This window comes from Homo sapiens, chromosome 1 (assembly GCF_000001405.40).
Source record: "Homo sapiens chromosome 1, GRCh38.p14 Primary Assembly".
Lineage (NCBI taxonomy): Eukaryota > Metazoa > Chordata > Mammalia > Primates > Hominidae > Homo > Homo sapiens.
In genome coordinates, this window is record NC_000001.11 from 167,479,295 (window position 1) to 167,499,013 (window position 19,719).

Sequence of the window (19,719 nt, forward strand, 5' to 3'; positions counted from 1 at the left end):
TTTCTAAATTACATGTGCATTACTTTGAAAACGGGGAGGAGTGGGATTAATTGGAAATGAAAATTAAACTAAAAAGACATTTTTAAAAAAGGAGTTCAGTCCAGATTAGCTTGAAGGGCCCCATAGACCTGCTGATCTAGTTTCCCCGACCATGATTCTGTGACCACACAATGGTGGCGATTACATGATGTGACATATCCGCCTCCATCTGCCACACACTACGGCCCAGCGGTGGCCATGCCTCCCCCTGTTCAAAAATCACCCCAGGAGTTCAGGTTTGTTTTTGCATCACATCACAGACCTCCCCGCTCCCCATCATGTGGCTTTTAGGGCCTCATATTCTGGTCACCTCACTTTCCACCTGTGTCCCCAGTCCACATCTCTTCCATCCAGCCAGGTCCACACCTTTGGGAACTCACCAACACCTACCCTCTCCCTGTCTGGACTGCCGCTGATCCCTGACTTGGAATGCCCCTTCCTCCTGCCAGTCCACATTCTACCCATTGGTTGAGGTTGCTCCAGGGGCACTGGGCTTCTGCAAACGCCAGTTCTTTGCCTGCACCAAATAATTTAGCACAACTGCATTCTTTACTGCTTCGTGCCTCTCCCCTTTGGCATGAGCTTCGTGACTGCAGAGCCACATTTTCTACTTCTCTTTTGCCTCATATGCCCCAGACCAAAACATCTAGCTTGCTGCTGAGAGCGGACTCAGAATCCAAAACAGCACGGGCTGGATCACTGTTACTCAATGGCCACTGCATATGGTCTGATGCCCCGTTCCAAAATAGGCCAAGAACCGATTAGGCCGACGTTCTTTAGATCTGGAAGGATAGTAGACCTGTGAGTTAAAGGTGATTTGTCAGGGCAGCCCCACAGTTAAGACACAATCCTGCCCTGGAGAGAAAGAAACAGTTTTCTCACTTTGAGCATTTCAGTGTTTGGTTTAGAGAGCTGCTGAGGTCTTGGCAGGGCGATGAAAATGGGAAACCGTTTAGAAAGTGGAATAAAAATAAAAAGAATAGGGTTAATTTAGTTGGAGAAGGAGTGGAGATGAGGCCACACAAGTCTTTAATACACCAAGAAAAACTGAGGCAGCATGCACGCTACTGGTACTACTTCTGCTCTTAAGAACGTCTCCTGTCCCCAACCTGCCCCTGACACCCCCAGAGCTCTCCTCCTGCTCAACCAGCCTAGGAGCCTTCCAGCTAACAAGATCTCTTCCAGCTCTAAAAGGTTGTTTTGCAATGTCTTAAACCTGAAACTTCAGGCTGTGGAGCATGTAAACAAGAGTGACTGTGGGATATCCTGCTCAGGTGATTTTAAAGAAAATAGGGACATAGTTTGGAGGATGGTTTAAGCAAGACCTTTTAAACCCTTTTAACTCTTCAGCTCACCCTGCATTAAATCAAATGTGAAGATAAATGCTCATTAAACATTAAATATATATTTATTTTTCTATGAAAACAGTTGAAAGCATTTTTATAATTTTGCTTTTGAAATTATTTGGTTACAAGTAATTCATTTAATTCATGACAAGCTACAATTTCTTGACTTTTATTGTGTATTCTTGGGAACATTTGTGACGTGATAAAACTCTAAGATTTACATGTGAAACAACAAGGCTGACATATAGCACAATTATAACATTGTCTTAGATTCGCTTTCTAGTACATATATTGATTCTCAACCATTATCCACTAAGAGGTGTTGAGCTGGGTGTGGTGGCTCTTGCCTGTAATCCCAGCACTTTGGGAGGCTGAGGTGGGTAGATTGCTGGAGCCTAGGAATTTGAGGTCAGCCTGGGCAACATGGTGAAACCCCATCTCTACAAAAAATACAGAAATTACCTGTGTGTGGTGGCATGTTCATGTGGTCTCAGCTACTTAGGAGGCTGAGGTGGGAGGATCACTTAAGCCTGAGAGGCAGAAGTTGCAGTGAGCTGAGATCACGCCACTGCACCCCAGGCTGGGCAACAGAGAGAGACTCCCTCTCAAAAACAAACAAACAAAAAGAGGCACTGAAAGGAAACTGTCATTTATAGTAGTTAGAATACTAAAACTTGGAAATAGCTTACTTCTATTAAAACAGGTAGAGTCAAACTTATACCTATATTAAAATCATTTTTACTCATTTGCTTTCCAAAAGATTTCATGACGCAGGGGAGAAAGTTGGGAGCAGAGGGAGGATGGGTTCATACAAGCCCATGAGAAACATACATTTTGGTGCCGTCTATAATGTGGGTGGGGGCGGAAAGAGAAACTCAGAATGACTGCTCTGATCATTTTGTGTGAAATGTCTTACTTCTTTTCTAAACCATACATTTCTTGAGGACAGATGCAGTAAGTTCATCGCACAATCCAGCAGTGAGCACAAGGGTCTCATTGAATTGATTGGTGCACGTGATACTCCAGATGGAGCCACATTGCAAATGGCACCACTGTCCCCATTTCCTCCAGGAAAAGCAGTGGTGGGGTGGGGCGGTCACAGGACCATACCTGTCACTGCATTCAGTTCTGTGAGGGTGGCCAGGGACTCCTGTCTGCCCCATTTCAAAGGGGACACACTGAGGCCCAGGGCAGGCAGCGATGGAACCCAAGGTTGGGTGCTGAGTAGGACTCTAGGCCTCTGACCAAGTTGATCTGGGGCCTTCTGCAGCAGGACCTGCCTGTATCTTTTACTGTGTGTGATCCCTGCCTAAGAACCTGCCCACTCCCTCTTCTGCCTCTCAACCAAGACTTCTGGGGACCTTTCTTTTTACCCTCTGGACAACTCTTAGAAGGAGGCTCAACCTCTGAACTGTCTCAGCATGAATGAGAGGTCTTCTAGGTCCTGTGAAAAGTTCTCTGGCCTGAGGATGACCATGAACCCACAGTAGGTTCAGCCCCCAACACCACCCGACTGGAGACAACGCCATCCCTGGGTGCTCTGGAATGAAGGGATCAAGCTGGCATCTCCTTTCTCAGTGACCTTTCTGAACCTAAAGCTACCAGGCCCATAAATTCCCCCCTGGTGCTCACAAGACTCTGATGATCAAGAAAGAAGGCGGGTCTTCCCTCACCAACAGCCAAGAGGCTGCTTGAGAGTCAAGGCAGCTTCTTCAGGGCTTTGCCTGGGTTTGTTCTGAATCTGCCCTGGCCTCTGTGGGGGTGGGGTGGAGTGAACGTCTTTCCTCTCTGGGTGTCTTCCAAACACACTTCTGCACTAAGAGTTGCCACTCCCTTCCTTTCTCCCCTCAGCCTCTCCAGAAGCAAAGCCCATGCTGGCTGGGGCCAAGGGCTGACTTCTAAGAGTGGAGAATCGTGACTCCACAGCAGGGGAGACCTAGCTGCTATGAAAGCAACAACTTCTAGGGAGGCTGGGACCTCGGGCCTCCAGCACCATGGAGGACCATGGAGTGACCTTAAGGAATCCTTCTGGACAAATATCCAAAGGGCTGTGTGCCTATTCACCTGGGAGAGAGGCCTTGGGCTGCCCGTACCCTGGGAAGGGAAGATGAGGTGAGGGTAGTTTATCCGGCCCAGGCTACCACAGCCTGTTAGGACAGAGCCCAGGTCTATTCAAGGATGGGTGAAAAACTAAAATGTGGGGAGGGGGAAGGTCTGGGTAAGCCCTTGTTTGGCTCATGGTTTTGGCCCTCTCTGAGGTGCCTAATCTGATCCAGTAACCACACAAACTGGGCTGCAAAGGAACTAACCAATATTCTTTCTTTCTTTCTTTCTTTTTTTTTTTTTGAGACTGAGTTTCGCTGTTGTTGCTCAGGCTGGAGTGCAATGGCATGATCTCGGCTCACAGCAACCTCCGCCTCCTGGGTTCAAGCAATTCTCCTGCCTCAGCCTCCCGAGTAGCTGGAGTTATAGGCATGCGCCACCATGCCCGGCTAATTTTGTATTTTTAGTAGAGATGGGGTTTCTCCATGTTGTTCAGGCTGGTCTCAAACTCCCGACCTCGGGTGATCCACCTGCCTCAGCCTCCCAAAATGTTAGGATTACAGGCGTGAACCACCGCACCCAGTGAGCTAACCAATATGCTAATGACTTCAGTTGATCAACCACAGTGTCCAGTGAAGAAAATCAGGGCTCTTCTCAGGGTGGTGGTATCTAGACCCTAAAAATAGCCTCCCTCCCCCTCCCTACCCTGCTTTCCCACCAACCTTGAAGATTCTGATATTTTGTTAAAAATTCATGCTAGTTTTTCCCACAAGGGAGCTGGAATTTATTATCATCTCCTATGTTCCTAACACTGGTTATAAATGTTTATTTCATTTAATCCTCAGAACTGGCTCAGAAAATAGGCCACACTCTCCCCATCTCATAGAGGAGTCAGAGGCTCAGAGAGATTAACTTACTTGCCTGAGGTCACACAGCTAGTTGGTAGAGGAGCTCTTCCATAAGATAGCAAGGCCACATCACCTGCAGGGCAGTGCCTGCTCTGGGAGGTGGCACAATGTGCCCAGTGATGACGATGACAATAACTATGAAAGGATTTTATATTTGCACAGCATTTTGCAGCAGTGCCCCTCAGCTTTGAACCCAGGGCATGCACTGAGTCCAAGAAGGGGTTCCCCTCCCCACTCCCTCCCCAGCACACATCACCTTAGCCACTTCCGGAGGAACAGGAGAAATGGCTTGCCCACTTGGCTGGCTGCAGTGGTAGCAGGAGGCTTCCTGAACAGAGGCTGCCCAGACTGCCCACAGCAAGTGTCCCACTGCTCTGCCACCGCTGGTGCCGTGTGGGAGTCAAGGCTGGGGAGCCTGAATGGTGGGCCAGGCCGGGGGCCGTGGGGTTCAGAGGCAGAGTGGAGAATACAAAATCGCAGGTGAGATCACAGCTCTCTCAAGCCTCATTCCTCGTGCCCCACACAGGCAGAGTCTTGAGTCCTCCCTTTGTTCCTTTCTTGTTTCTCTGGGGGTAATTTGGCCTTTTAGAGACCACTTCCTTTACCCCCAATCAGCAGACACCACCAGCTCCCTGCCCATCTTCCTTCCCTCTGTTTCCTCCTCTTCCCTATAGGCTGACTGTGTTGTGGGGGCTCCTTAAAGCTCCATCTCAGTCACAAGGACAGCAGGGGCTTCTCCAGCTCCCTGAAGTCCCCTCTGTACACCCTTCCCCTTTGGGAGCCCAGAGGCCAAGGTCAAGTTTCTGGAGGAGGAGGAGGCACTGTCTGGATTGCTCTGGCAGGAGCATTTTAAGAGCCCTGTTCAGCCAGGCGCGGTGGCTCACGCCTGTGATCCCAGCACTTTGGGAGGCCAAGGCGGGCGGATCACCTGAGGTCAGGAGTTCGAGACCAGCCTGGCCAACATGATGAAACCCCGTCTCTACTAAAAATACAAAAATTAGCCAGGCGTCATGGCACGTGCCTGTAGTCCCAGCTACTCAGGAGGCTGAGGTAGGAGAATCACTTGAACCCGGGAGGCAGAGGTTGCAGTGAGCCGAGATCGCGCCACCGCAGTCCAGCCCGGCGACAGAGCGAGACTCTGTCTCAAAAACAAAACAAAACAAAAAAGAGAAGGGCTTTTAGAGGTTCACTTGTCTCTCACAACCTCAGAAGAAAAACCAGGCGGGATGACTCTCCAGCTGAGGAGACTGAGGCTGAGGGACTGCCTGGTCCTTGGCTGTCCAGGGAGGGGCTCATTCCCTGCTGCTCTGCTGCCAGACTGTTCAGAGGTGAAAGCCTCACATTGGCAGAACCCAGGTATTTGGTATCTAGGGAACCCAGGAAATAACAATCAGGCCAAACACTGGCCCTGTCCTGAATCCTTTAGTCCCCATCCTTCAGCACCCCCTTGTGAGGGACAACCAGGCACATCACACCCTCATGGATGCAGATGGCATGGACTCCTTCACTTGGTTACAACCCACACTCACCTGGGGTCTTTTCTGCCTTCTGTGGACCTATTGGAAGATCTAAGGGGGGCATTTGAAAATGAAAAGGGAGCTTGCAGGGAGAGCAGCCAACTCAGCCCATCCAAGAGCAGACAGACCCCTGCACGCCCTGCTCACAGCTCTGTCCCTGTGCCGCTGTGGCCTGGCGCTGCGTCTGGGGAGCTCAGTAAATATTTGTTGAGTGAATGAATGAATGGGATGGCCTGACCGCTTGACATTGCAGAAGGAGAAGGACAAAGTGGAGAGGCTGAGGTTTGTTTTTGGGTGGGGAAGCTCCCATCTTGGATTGTAGTGGGGGTGGAAGCAGAAGCAAAAACCTAGTCTAGGGTGTGGATTGAGGGAGACCCAGGAAAACGACCCACTCACACACCTGCCTTTCCTGAAACACTGAGAGCTGCCTGAGATTAGGGAGCTGCCTTACTCCTCCTTTTGTCAGCATGCTGGCTGGCGTGCTAGGCTCCCGTGGGGAGGGTATCCCGGCATGGCTTACTAGGTGGTTAACGCCAGGGCAGTTGGGAGGTAAATTAAGGGGCACAAGCTCAGGAATCCCTCCTTTCAGTCCTGTCACCAGCCCCAAATCCAACCCACCAAGAATGGTGGGTATAATTCATCTTAACTATTTCCCACCAAAACAATATGACTTTTACTCTCTGCCTCCTTCTGGCTGAGCTCTGAGACCAAGAGGGCTGTGGATGTTGGGGGTGGGGAAAGAAACTATGGAGCTGCCAAGAAGGTTGAACAACCAGGTAATTAACTGAAAGAAAACGACTGGAGGCTGGGGAGGGGAGGGTTAAGAGTCATTGTGGGCCGCCTTCCAGAAGCCTCCTTCCACGGCCCCCACTGCCATCCACACACCACTCTGACCCCTGCAAGGACACACCACCATGCTCCGAGGGGCAGGTGGCCTCAGCTCTGCTGCTCTCAAGACAGCAAGAGAACAGGCATTGTCAGGCCAAAGAAATTAGCAACATGGAAAAGTGAGTGGAAAGAAAACATGTTTTCATCACAAGATCAAGAAACTGGTTTGGTTCTTGCACCAGCCCCCTCGGTTGTCAAATGAGAAGTCAAATTCAGAAGGGACACAGGACCTGCCCGAATCACCACAGCCAGAGAGAGGCAACTCTGGGGAAAGTGCCCTGGCCTCGGAGGGAGAGGAAGTGCTGCGGGACATGAGCAGGTCACTTAACCTCTCAGAGCACTGGAGCAAAATCGAGGGACTGGACAATTTCGGAGTGTTGTTGTGAAGATCAGCTGAGACTGTTTATGTGAAAATACTTTGTAAACTGAAAAAAATAAAACCAAAGAGTGTCAGCAGCAGAACTAGCACTAAAGCCCAGATGACCTCAGGCCCAGCCGCCGGTCCAGGGCCCGCCTCGAGTTTGCGGATAGCATGATTTGGCAGGCATGCCACTGACGGCAAGCAGATCTGTTTCCCACGCTTCAGAGGCCAGTTTCTGCTACCACATCCTTTCACTCTGGCTTATGGGGCTTGCTGCCTGCTGAGGGGTCAGCAGAGAAACCCCCTGCAACCCCCAGGAAAGAGCTCTGGCCACTTATGCGGGCCACTGCAAGCTGCTCTGATACCTCTGTGTGAGTTAGAAATGGCAGCTCTGGGTGGGCATGGTGGCTCGTGCCTATGTAATCCCAGCACTTTGGAAGACCGAGGTGGGTGGATCACCTGAGGTCAGGAGTTCAAGACCAGTCTGGCCAAGATGGTGCAACCCCGTCTCTACTAAAAACACAAAAATTAGCCAGGCGTGGTGGAGGGTGCCTGTAATCCCAGCTACTTGGGAGGCTGAGGCAGGAGAATCACTTGAACCCCAGAGATGGAGGTTGCAGTGAGTCGAGATCATGCCACTGCACTCCAGCCTGGGTGACAGAGCAAGACTCCATTTCAAAAAAAAAAAAAGGAAGAAAACGGCCGGGTGTGATGGTTCACATCTATAATTCCAGCACTTTGGGAGGCCGAGGTGTGTGGATCACGGGGTCAGGAGTTCAAGACCAGCCTGGCCAAGATGGTGCAACCCCATCTCTACTAAAAATACAAAAATTAGCCAGGCATGGTGGTGGGCGCCTGTAATCCCAGCTACTTGGGAGGTTCAGGCAGAGAATCGCTTGAATTCGGGAGGTGGAGGTTGCAGTGAGCCGAGATCGTGCCACTGCACTCCAGCCTGAGAGATAGAGTGAGATTCCATCTAAAACAAACAAAAGAAAAAACGAAGAAAGAAAAGGCAGCTCCATGGCAGGCAGGTTCAGGCCAGCTGATGCCCCTTCCTCCAGGTGGGCATCCCTGGACCCACACTGCCAGGGAGCAGGTACAGGCAAGTCCCAGGACCCACTGGCAGCCTCAGCCTGGCACCTCCATCCAATGCTTAAACCGCATAACCTTACTGGAGGCACTGACCAAAGTAGGCTCCGATCTCAGTCTATGAGGCAGGCACAACCCACCATTCCAACAACACTAATTGAGTGCCATTTCATGACACAACAGCATTATCAAAAAGAATGAGTACCAGGCTAGCAGTGAGAAGTGTGGGTCCTACTCCCACCACACTACCTTGTTTTTTTCGAGACAGGGTCTCACTGTGTTGTCCAGGCTGGAGTGCAGTGGCACACGATCACTGTGCACTGTGGCCTCAAATTCCTGGGCTCAATCAATCCTTCTGCCTCAGCCTCCTGAGTAGCTGGGATTACAAGTATCTACCACCACATCTGACTAATTTATTTTTAGAATTTTTTTTGTAGAGATGGGGGTCTCACTATGTTGCCCAGGTCAGTATTGAACTCATGGCCTCAAGCAGTCTTCCCCACTCGGCCCCCAAAGGGCTGGGATTGCAAGCATGAGCCACTGTGTGCCAGCCCCACAATACTACTTTCTAGCTGTGTTCCCCTGAGGAACTCATTCAAACTCAGTTTCTCCAGCTATCACATGGAAATAACAATTGTTACCCCAAAAGGTTTGTTAAAGGCACAAATGAGATGATAATATGAGCACTCTATTGTAAAGTGGAAATCAGGATACAGCTATAAGAGATGATGATCATACATTCTAAGAAAATTTTGAAGATAATTTTACTGCTAAGATGTGTTAAAGAAAAATAATTCAATGATACCTGTTAAAGCACAGTAAGGCAGACTTCATTCAAAACTGTCATGATAGGTAGAAGGATGATTGCAATGGGGTCTTGCAGTGGGACAGAAAGATTGGGCTCAACTCCAAGTACAGCAAGTGGGCATTTATGCCAAGGAGCAGAGTAGGGGGTCAATGGATAGAAAATTCCCAAAAAGAGTGAGAGGGATTCTGGCTAAACCAACCTAACAGGACTCTAGCTGAACACAGGCCAGGGGGATCAGACCTCACCTGGGGGATGGAGTGGGATGAGGACCCTGATCAGACACTGAGGGGAACCGGATATTGAAGGTTGATGGTTGTGCTCAACTAACTGGGCAGAGTTCTTTGCTAAACCTGGATTTTGCAAGAAAGTACACAGATGGGCCTAGGAGAAAGTTTGGAAGCCTGATTAAGTTTTTGTCAAGCAGGGAATCTTTAGCAGTTGACATAATGACAATATTGAGAGATTTTTGAAAAATATTCTCTCTGATGGAGCCCAACAAGTATTTCCCTTTCTGCATGTGCGTGCGTGTTTTTATGTCACGTACGTGAGTATGTTCTTGTAGCTCAGACAGCTCCGAATAAAAACCCAGGGAAGCGAGGGTGTGCTGAGCCCAGGGAGGGCCTGCCAGGAGGGTTTTCTGAAGGATGGCTGTGGGCCGGGCCTCTTCTGAGAGGGCTGAGGGCAGCTGCTTCCCTTGCCGTTTGATTCATTAGTCCACACCTCGTGGAGAGGTAACTTGAAAGGCAGCGCCGAGAAGCACGTAATGGATTTGTGAGGTTTTAACACCGGACAGCAGACAAAAGACTAATAAAAATCCGGGGCAGGAATTTCCCAAGAGGGAAGTGTCACAGTGGAATAAAAATGAAAGAGATAAAGGAGAGTTCCTAGAAGGATCCAACCCCCCTTCCCCACCCCAAACTCTGCTTATAGGTTCTTATATGATAATTTAAACTATATATGATATTAAATTAGCACTCCAATAGCAAAAATAAAAGTGTTCCCACATCACCTTCTTTGAAAATATTTATTTAAATAGGATGAAATGTTATTGAGGGCTTTTGTGTCTAGAAACAGGGTTAATTAAAGATTTCCTGCCTGCTTTGTGGGTAGGTGACACTCTCATTGAGATAGCAGCAATGCCCTATTTAGTGGTCTCTCAGCTTTCTTTCTATTCATCTGGTTTGGTAGTGGAATTCCATGGGAAGTTTGACCCTATTCAGTGATGAGAGAAGCAAAATACTGTTGTTCACCTAGAGGCTGTTTGCTCAGAAAAACAGGGTGTCAGAGACATGGGACGCAAACCCAGAGTGACATAGCGCAGGGACTTGGCTCACTTTTCTGAGATCTGTAAAATGTGATGTGACTGGCTCTCAGAAAGGAGGCTGAAGGGTTCCTGCCCGATTGGTTTTCAAAGGGCAAGAGCCCCGCTGCTGAGGAGCTGCGGCTTTGTTAGACAAAAGCCCAGGGCAGCCCCCTCCTGGGCTCAGCGTTTTCCCCACCTCCCCCTTTCTCACAGGCGGTTTCCCTGAAATGAAAGAACTGTGATGCATTTGCGCCTTCAAAAGCAGTTTTTAAAATGCATTAAACCCAAGATTGAATACCACCCAGTTCGGCCTCTGACCTGTGCCCGCGCCGAGGTTTCTGGGCAGCCAGGCCCAGGGAGGAAGCTGGCCTTTTGGCCCCAGGAGGCAGAGCCAGTTTAGCTGCCTGTGCCCCCCCACCACCCCACCCCTTTTTTTGACCTTCTGGCCCAAATAGGGAACTGTGGAGCGCTCATCTTTGTGTCCTTGCTAGTACACAGCCTCCCTGTGAAAGCAAGCAATGTCCCCAAGCAAATCCATATATCCGGGACCTACGGCGGCGGAAAGATCGGGTGCATTTGGAAGGCACGGGGCCTGGCCTCACATTTCCAAAAGCAGTATTCCAGACTCTGCCTGCAAAGCTTCTCCACCTTCCCCGTCATCTGACCTCATCTTTCTTAATTTTTCTTCTCTCATTCTTTCTATCTTCCCCTCTCTATCTCTTTCTTCCTTTAGAAATTATATTTGAGGCCGGGCGCGGTGGCTCACGCCTGTAAGCCCAGCACTTTGGGAGGCCGAGTTGGGTGGATCACGAGGTCAGGAGTTTGAGACCATCCTGGCCAACATGGTGAAACCCCATCTCTACTAAAAATACAAAAATTAGCTGGGCTTGGTGGCGCACGCCTGTAGTCCCAGCTACTCCGGAGGCTGAGGCAGGAGAATCCCTTGAACCTGCGAGGCGGAGGTTGCAGCGAGCCGAGATCGCGCCACTGCACTCCAGCCTGGGCAACAAGAGCGAGTCTCCGTCTCAAAAAAGAAAAAAAAATTATTTTTGAAGGTCGGGTACAGTGACTCACGCCTGTAATCCCAGCCCTTTGGGAGGCTGAGACGGGCAGATCACTTGAGGTCAGGAATTCGAGACCAGCCTTCGTCTCTACTAAAAATACAAAAATTAGCCTGGTGGGGTGGTGGGTGCCTATAATTCCAGCTACTCAGGACGCTGAAGCAGGAGAATCGTTTGAACATGGGCAGGAGAACTGTTTGAACATGGGAGGCCGAGATTGCAGTGAGCTGAGATCACACCACTACATTCCAGTCTGGGTTGACAGAGCAAGACTCTGTCTCAAAATAATAATAAATAATAATAATAATAATAAATAAAAAGAAATTATCTTTGAAAGAACTCATATAAGCAGGCTAAAATTAATTTGTTAATTTGTCACATTTAAAATAGTCTATTTTATTCTATATTTACAATTTTTGAAATCCTAGTTTTGGCACGTCTTGCCTCTTAAAAAATTTATATCACCCTTTACTCGTTGGAATGGCTACTTGTTTAAAAAACAGAAAATCACAAGTGTTGGTGAGGATGTGGAGAAGGAATGCCGTGCACTGTGGGCGGAAAGGTAAAATGGTACAGCTGTTGTGGAAAACGGTTTGGTGGTTCCTCAGAAAGTTAAAAATAGAACTACTGGCCGGGCGCAGTGGCTCATGCCTGTAATCCCAGCACTTTGGGAGGCCAAGGCGAGTGGATCACCTGAGGTCGGGAGTTCGAGACCAGCCTGACCAACATGGAGAAACCCTGTCTCTACTAAAAATACAAAATTAGCCGGACATGGTGGCCCATGCCTGTAATCCCAGCTACTCGGGAGGCTGAGGCAAGAGAATTGCTTGAAGCCAGGAAGGGAGGTTGCAGTGAGCCAAGATCATGCCATTGCACTCCAGCCTGGGCAACAAGAGCGAAACTCCATCTCAAAAAAAAAAAAAATAGAACTATCATATGGTCTAGCAATTCTACTTCTGGTTCTATACCCAAAAGAATTGAAAGCAGGGTCTTTAAGAGATATTTGTGCACCCATGTTTATAGCAGCACTGTTCACAATCACTAAAAGGTGGACGCAACCAAGCACTCATTGACAGATGGATGGATGAGCAAAATGCGGCAGATGCATACAGTGGAATATTATTTGGCCTTGAAAAGGAAGGAAATTCAGACACATGCTACCACATGGATGAAAGTTGAGGGCATTAGGCTAAGTGAAATAAGCCAGACACAGAAAGACAAATATGGTATGATTTCACTTATATGAGTTACTTAAAGTAGTTAAAATCATAGAGACAAAAAGTAGAATAGTGGTTGTCAGGGGCTGGGAGGAGGCGGGAATGGGGAGTTATGGTTTCATGGGTACAGAGTTTCAGTTTCGCAAAATGAAAAGAATTCTAGAGACGGATGGTGGTGATGGTTGCGCAACAATATGAATGTACTTGACATCACTCAACTGTGCGCTTAAACATGGCTAAGAGGGTAAATTTTATGTTATGTGTATTTTACCAGGCAAAAAAACAAACAAACAAAAAACCTGGAGGAAAAATTAGCAGCCTGTGCTATGAAAATTGCCTCAGGTGTAAGACAGTCTTGTCAGTATTGGAGCGTGCTCACAGTTGACATGTGTGAAGGACCAGGAGAGCCGGAAGAGGTCAGCAGGCTCAGGGGGTGCTGTTAGCCTGTTTCACCGACAGAAAGGCTTAACCCCTGCGGCGCCAACTAGACCAGGAGACCTTGCCTCTCTATTATTCTCCCACTGGCTGTTGCTTATTTTTGTTAGTCCAATATTTTCCACTGCTCTCAGAGACAAAGGTAGGCAACAGTTTGCAAAATTTAGACGCTTATGTGTGCACAAAGGAAAAAAAGAAGAAAGAAAGAAAACAACAGTCTGGTGAGCTTCTGTGAAGCTTCTTAACTAGCAGGGAGGGGAATTTTCCTTTCTGGTCACGTAGGCTGCTGTCTTCGGCTTCGATTCGTAAGCCACCTCCCAAGCCCCCATTAGCCCCAGGTAGGGGACATCCCATCCCCCTAAACCTCCTTCTTGAACTGACAGTTCACCCCTAGAAGGAGGTGGGAAACCACTCAGATCCATCTCAAAGGGATGCCTACCAGGGTAGGTGTGTGGGAGGAAGGCTGAGCCCATGCTGTGTTCAGGGGCCCCCCCAGAAGGTGTCAGCCTGGAGGAACATGCCCCACAGTTATAAAAGGCATCATTCCAGGAGCTATCATGGCGTCTGCTAGGGGCAGAGAGGAAGGGGAGGCAGGAAAGGGGCTGAGTATTTTGGGGCTGTATGCTTATTGTTCTACTTTTCTGTTGAAGTTATTGCAGTTGCTGCCCTCAAATTTTTCCTGCCTTTCTCCACCCCCAATTTTGCCCTATTTTCCCTAATTTTTCTCCTTTTTTTTTTTTTTTTTTTTTTTGAGATGGAGTGTCACTCTGTCGCCCAGGCTGGAGTGCAGTGGTGCGATCTCGGCTCACTGCAACTGCCACCTCCTGGGTTCAAGCTATTCTCCTGCCTCAGCCTCCTGAGTAGTTGGGATTACAGGTGTCCACCACTATGCCCAGCTAAGTTTTGCATTTTTAGTAGAGACAGGGCTTCACCATATTACCCAGGCTGGTCTCGAACTCCTGACTTCAGGCAATCCGCCAGCCTCGGCCTCCCAAAGTGCTAGGATTACAGGTGTGAGCCACCGCACCTGGCCAGTTTTTCTCCTTTTGTCCCATCTTCCTTTTTCCTTCTCCATCTGTTCCTTTCTGCTTCTCAGAATAAGCATCTCTATCCTTAGCTTCAAATCATAAACAACTTAGAAACAGTTACTTAGCTGAGTACTGTCTCTGTGCCAGGCCCTGTGCTGAGGGCTGACATTCATTGTATCTTTGGGTCCTCACAACAGCCATATGAGATAGGTGCTATTGTGCCCATTTTATAGTTGGGGATACTGAGGCTTAGGAAAGATAAAGTAACTTGTCCAAGATCACACAGCTGGAATGTGGCAGAGCTAGGATTTGAACCTTGACAGTCTGGCTAGAAGGGACCTTACTGATCATCTCTGTCCAAATCCTCCATAATGTACAGAAGAAAACAGGACCAGAGGCATCAAGTGACGTGTCCGAGGCCCCACAGCTAGTTAGGGGCAGTGCTGAGAACAAGAAGCTGGCCTCCTAATTCTGAGATTCTTCTTGTTTAAGAAGCATTTTCCATAGGTGGGCATCTGCTAGGCTTCTTTATCTAGAATTATTAATTCCAGGAAGCATGTGCCCTGGTCAGGCACAGAATCAGCAAAAACCCCACTGGAGACCCAAAATACCCTATATGCTCTCACCATTGCAGAATCTGTTGTGTCTGCAGGTGCAGCCTCCGGGACCCAGGACTTTCTTCTCAGGGCTCTGCTGAGTTGGGTGGGGGAGGCTGGAGGCTGCAAAATGATGACAGAGCTTGGGGCTATGATCTGGACTGGGTACCCAGAGCTAATAGGAGAAGAGGACAAGCAGGGGGACAGAACTGAGTCAGGAGACACTTTAGACGATGGAGGGTTGGGGGATGGAGGTGGCTAGTGAATAAAACACTTCTGAAGGGTCTTTGCTGCCTGTGTTGATGGCCATGATCAATTCGGATCCCCAGGGCCAGTTCAGCAAAACCTCTGTCAACAAATAGAGGATTTGTTTAATCTTTTCTGAAAGAGTCCGATGTTATCTAAGTGAGGACTGGCCAGGTAATTGGAACGTTCTAGAGACTGTTGGGTTGACTTGGATTTGGGGTCAATAAACATAGCGGCTCCACTACACTAGTGTGAGGAGGACCTCGGGAGAAATCGCATAGCTCCCTGGGCTGCAGTTTTCCCATCTGTGATATGGGGATAATGTCCTCACCCTGTCGACCTCATGGGGCTGCTGTGAGGGTCAGATGAGAAAATGGGTGGGGAGGTAATAATTAGTGAACAGCACCATTCAAAGCTACAGTGGTCTTATTGCTGTGTTTTCCTAATTGTATTTTGCACTGTGGCTTTACACAGCCCATGTCTCTGGATTGTTAAAAGGATCAAAAAAGATCATGAGTAGTGCATTCCTCGGCATTTTGTATCTCCTATAATTCCTGGATACAGATAAATGTTTATTAAAGAATGTGAAGGTCTCATCAAAAACCAAGCATGAGAGGCAAGACAATTATTACCTCAGATCACATACGCCTTGGATTTCAGAGCTGGAAAGAGGGTTAGAGACCTATTCCAGGACTTTACTCTACAGCAAAGCAGTCCGGGTTCCAGAGAGCCCAGGTGACTTGCCTTGGCTGGGCTGGACTCTGTTCTCTCCCCACCTGGACCTTGTGTCCGAGGAGCAGTGTTGGACCCTCAATTCAGACAAAGTGGGAAGGCAGATCCCAAGGAGGGGAGGGCTGGTGGCCCAGGTGGCTGCCTGGAAGATACCATCACTTCTCATGCTGTCTTAGGTGAACTTTCAAAGTCCAGCGTAAGAAAAAGTTTCCAGCAACAGCATTGTGGTTAGTATTGCAGGCTTTGGAGTGAGACAGTCCTGGGTTTAAATCTTGGCTGTCTACCTAGTATCTATGTGGTCTACGATATGTTACATAACCTCTCTAAGCCTCAGTTTCTTCAACTGTAAAATGAGGATATCCTGAGGTTGTTACCTTACAGTTTGCTGAGAGGAATAAATGCAATAATGGACGGGTGTGCTCACCCCAGAGCTTGGGACTGGGTAAATACTCATAAATGACAGAGGTGGGAGTAGTTGTTACAGTAACCTACCAGAGGGAAGAAGAGTGTGCTCCCGTTTAATCCTTATCACCTACGCAGTGCTTGGCATATAGGAGCGCAACAGATGTTTCTTGAACAAACATCACTAAGTAATGCCTACTTCTGCCCTTATTCCCCCTCAGCATGTTCCTTGCCCAGCTGCTAGAATGATCCTGCCAAAACATATAATCATGTATCTTTTCTGCTCCAAGTCCTTGACCTCCATCTCACTTAGAGCAAAATGTCCTTCAAGCTTGTTTGCAACTGTCACTCTCTCCCCAAACCCCCAGAACTCAATACGTCTGACCTCACCTCCTACTGGCCTTCCCCTCACTCATACCACCTCTTTGCAGTTCCAGGAACATGCCAGTCTGCACTGCCACCTCCGTCTTCTCCAGGTTCCCACTTGGCTTGCTCGCTCACTTCCTTCTGGGTTTGACTAGAATGCCACCATCTTAGCAAGGACATCCCTGCATACCCTACCCAAAACTGTATCCCCACACCACCAGCCTGACACTTCCTATGCACCTTCTCTGTGTTATTTTTCTTCTCAGCATGTATCACAACTATCTACATATTTTTCAGTTTACCTCGTTTATTGCCTGTCTCCGTCTTTAATTGTTAGTTCTATATGGGATCTGGGATTTTGTTGCTGCTGTGGTTCAGTTTGTTCATGATTGTTTCAAAAGCACCTAGACTGTTCCTGCTACATAGTAAATAATAAATATTGGTTGAATAAATAAATGAATGAATAGCATTAGTAGTGGTGTTTGTGTGTTTGTTCATTTTGTATGGCAAGAATTGTGAAATAAAGCAGAAGGAAGGAAGGTAGGTAGGTAGGCAGGTAGTGAGTTGCTCATCACAGTAGTGTTCCCAGAAGTCTGGATTTCCATTCATCAAAGAAGCTATCGAGTGTGAGTTCTGTTGGAAGAGAGGTTGGACTAGATGATTTTGTAGGTATCACCAAATGTCTGACTGCTGCAACAGCTTGAGTCTGCTGGGGTCACACAAGAATCACTAGAGCCCTGCAACCCCCCTGCTCTTTGGGTCAGTACTTGAACCTGCCTGAGAGGGGATCTGCTTAAAAGCAGCAGCTTGTCTCCGGATCCTGAAGCAAGGAGGTTTTGCATCTCTCTGGCCTTGAAGATCTCCATCCCGTGGAGAGTCTGACTCTACAGAGCGGGCAGAGAGTAGGAAGAAGGAACCTAGACGATCTCTGGCTGGGCCAAGAGAGAAATTAGCAAGGCCAGCTGACAAACTGGGCCTCCTGCATGGGGCTGAGAAGTGGGTAAGGGTTGGGAGGGAGAAGGGACATAACCAGGGATAAGGCAAGACAAGAAGTCTAATCAGGGACTGAGTCGGTTAGAAGTTTAAGGATTGTTCCTAAATGGTTATCAGCTCCATCTGTTGGACAGCAGGCTGGTGGCAGGGGTGTGGGTGACGTGTACCACATCACCCAGGAGATCTCCATCAGAAGGAGATAGCCCTGGAACTTAGGAATCTTTACGGGGAGGCGGGTGATGAAAAAAGCAGGCCCCGGAGAGCGGGGACACTGACAGTGAGGGGAGACCTAGCAACCCTACTGCCAGGAGTGCATTCCAAAGAAATAGCCACAAATGTGAGCACAGATGTATGCACAGGAATGTCCACAGTGACACTATTCATAATGCGTCCAAACATGAAGCCATCTAAATGTCTGACAAAAGACAGTGGTAAAATAAATTACGGCATTTTACAGGCACTAAAGTTGATGTAGAGACATAGTTCATGACAGGGAGAGATGACCATGATTTATTGCTAAGTAAAAAGAACAGTTACGAAATAAAATGCACATATCCAAGCCTAGAAGGACAGTCACCAACATACTAATCAGTCTTGGGGGTAACATTTTTTAAAATGATTTTTATTTTCTCTTTGTTCTTTTCTACCTTTTCCAAGTTTTCCCCAATAAGTATGCTTTGACCTTGTAAGATATGATAAATATCATCTTTTAAAGTGTGGTGTTTTAGGTTCTCAAAGCAGAAAATAAAGTCCATTTCATTTTAAATAGGATACAGTGAAATCGCTGACTACAGGTCCTCTTTCGCTTAGTTCTCGTTTTCTTTAGTATTCTAGGGCAGGGGAGGCTTTCTTAGTGGCAAATTACTACTTTCAGGGGGAGCATTAAATAAATAAGAAAGTAAAGGTTGTAAATGTTGTTGGTATTTGATTTGGAAACAGTATGAGTTAAAATAAGATATAGGATGAGGATGCATCCTGGCACAACAGAAAAAGCACTGGGCTGAGAGTCAGTCCTGGGTTACAGAGCTAGAACCGCAAACTCTCCAAGGAACAAACTCAGTACTCCCTCTTCAAGGGGAACCTAACCCTATCCATAACCTGAATTCCACCTACAATATCTTTCTGGCTCAGCCACCAGCTTTGTGATTCTGCCATCTCCTTTCTGAGGGCCAGTGAAACAAAGGAGTCAAGGCAAAGGGGATCTCCAAGGTTCTTTACCCAGCACAGATTCCATGATGCCCAAGGGAGAAGAAAAAAGATGCCAAAAAAGCCTCCTTTACGGCTTGACCTCGGACTGTCCTGGCCGCATAGTTTACTGAGGGTCTAGACTTTTCTCCCTGGTTCCTGCTACAGATCTTGCTGTAGATGGGTGATGGTGCCATAGCTTGATCTTGGGGACCCTGGGATGTGGCATCTTCTGCCAGTCCTGTTCTGTTGTGTCTCCCCCAGTCCTGGCCAAAGGCAGTGGCTTCTGTTGCTGCTCCCGTCAAGAAGTGCCTTCCTATCCTGCCCATCTGCTCACATTTCTATCACTGCAGCTCACAGACTTCGGTTGTCTTTCACACCCCAGGTAAGATCAACTGCTAAAACCAACAATGCCTTGACATCCTTCTACATGAATCCACATCTTCCTAACATCTATTTTGGAATGCTCAGGTCCCTCAGGAGTCAGAAGAGCAGGGACACTGGGTGAGGCCAGGTGAAGAGGGCCTCAAGGGAGCTGAAGATGAGCACAGGCTTCAGGGACTGTCAAAAGAGTCTTGCGATCAGCCACAGACAGACATGGCCACTGGCACCCTCCTCCATGGAGATGCCTCAGACACTCTATTTGGCCTTTCTACCTTTCCATTCAGTCATTCATTTTTGTAAAATGTACAGTAATCGAAAACATTTATTACAGTGCTGCTATGGGCCTAGCTCCATCTGGGCCCATTACACACATTTTCTTTAATTATCCCAATGACCCTGCAAGGTAGGTAATCTTCATTTTATAAAGAAGAGGACAGTTTCAGAGAGGTCAAGAAACCTGCCCAAGATCACGTTGCTGGGTAGTGATAAAGCCAAAACTTTAATTTAGGTCTGATTGCCTCATGAATCTATGCTCTTTGCACTTTCTGCTGAAACTGACCTCCCTCAACCTTACCATCTAGACAGAAATGCAGATGGCGGACACAAGAGGCACTTGCAAACCAGGGACACCCAGAGTCAAGTGGTTGCTTTCTATGGTTTACGGCTGTCCTCCTTGGGAAGAACCATCCCAAAAGCCATGCGCACACGGGGCTCCTGAGGACATCATTTCAGCTTGTGTCAGGAAAGTGCTTAGCAGTGGATCAATTGCCAG

At 48.1% G+C, this 19,719-nt stretch overlaps 1 protein-coding gene across 6 annotated transcripts in view, besides 1 other annotated feature; it reads right to left on the reverse strand.

The window, feature by feature from the left end:
• The window catches only part of CD247 (CD247 molecule), an 87,890-nt gene that overhangs the window by 48,655 nt on the left and 19,516 nt on the right, over nt 1-19,719 (reverse strand). For 2 of the 6 annotated variants that reach the window (NM_001378516.1, NM_001378515.1), the window contains exon 2: nt 14,670-14,762. The exons of the other annotated variants lie outside the window; for them this stretch is intronic. In NM_001378516.1, coding sequence (NP_001365445.1) covers nt 14,670-14,762 — 93 coding nt within the window. The remainder of the gene's footprint in view (nt 1-14,669; nt 14,763-19,719) is intronic. 6 annotated transcript variants of the gene reach the window in all.
• Nucleotides 6,656-7,236: an enhancer, noted in NCBI's record as "H3K4me1 hESC enhancer chr1:167455187-167455767 (GRCh37/hg19 assembly coordinates)". NCBI's record gives its function as "activates a minimal SCP1, AML or CMV promoter by ChIP-STARR-seq in naive H9 embryonic stem cells {active_cell/tissue: H9 hESC(naive)}" and the evidence as "EXISTENCE:reporter gene assay evidence [ECO:0000049][PMID:30033119]".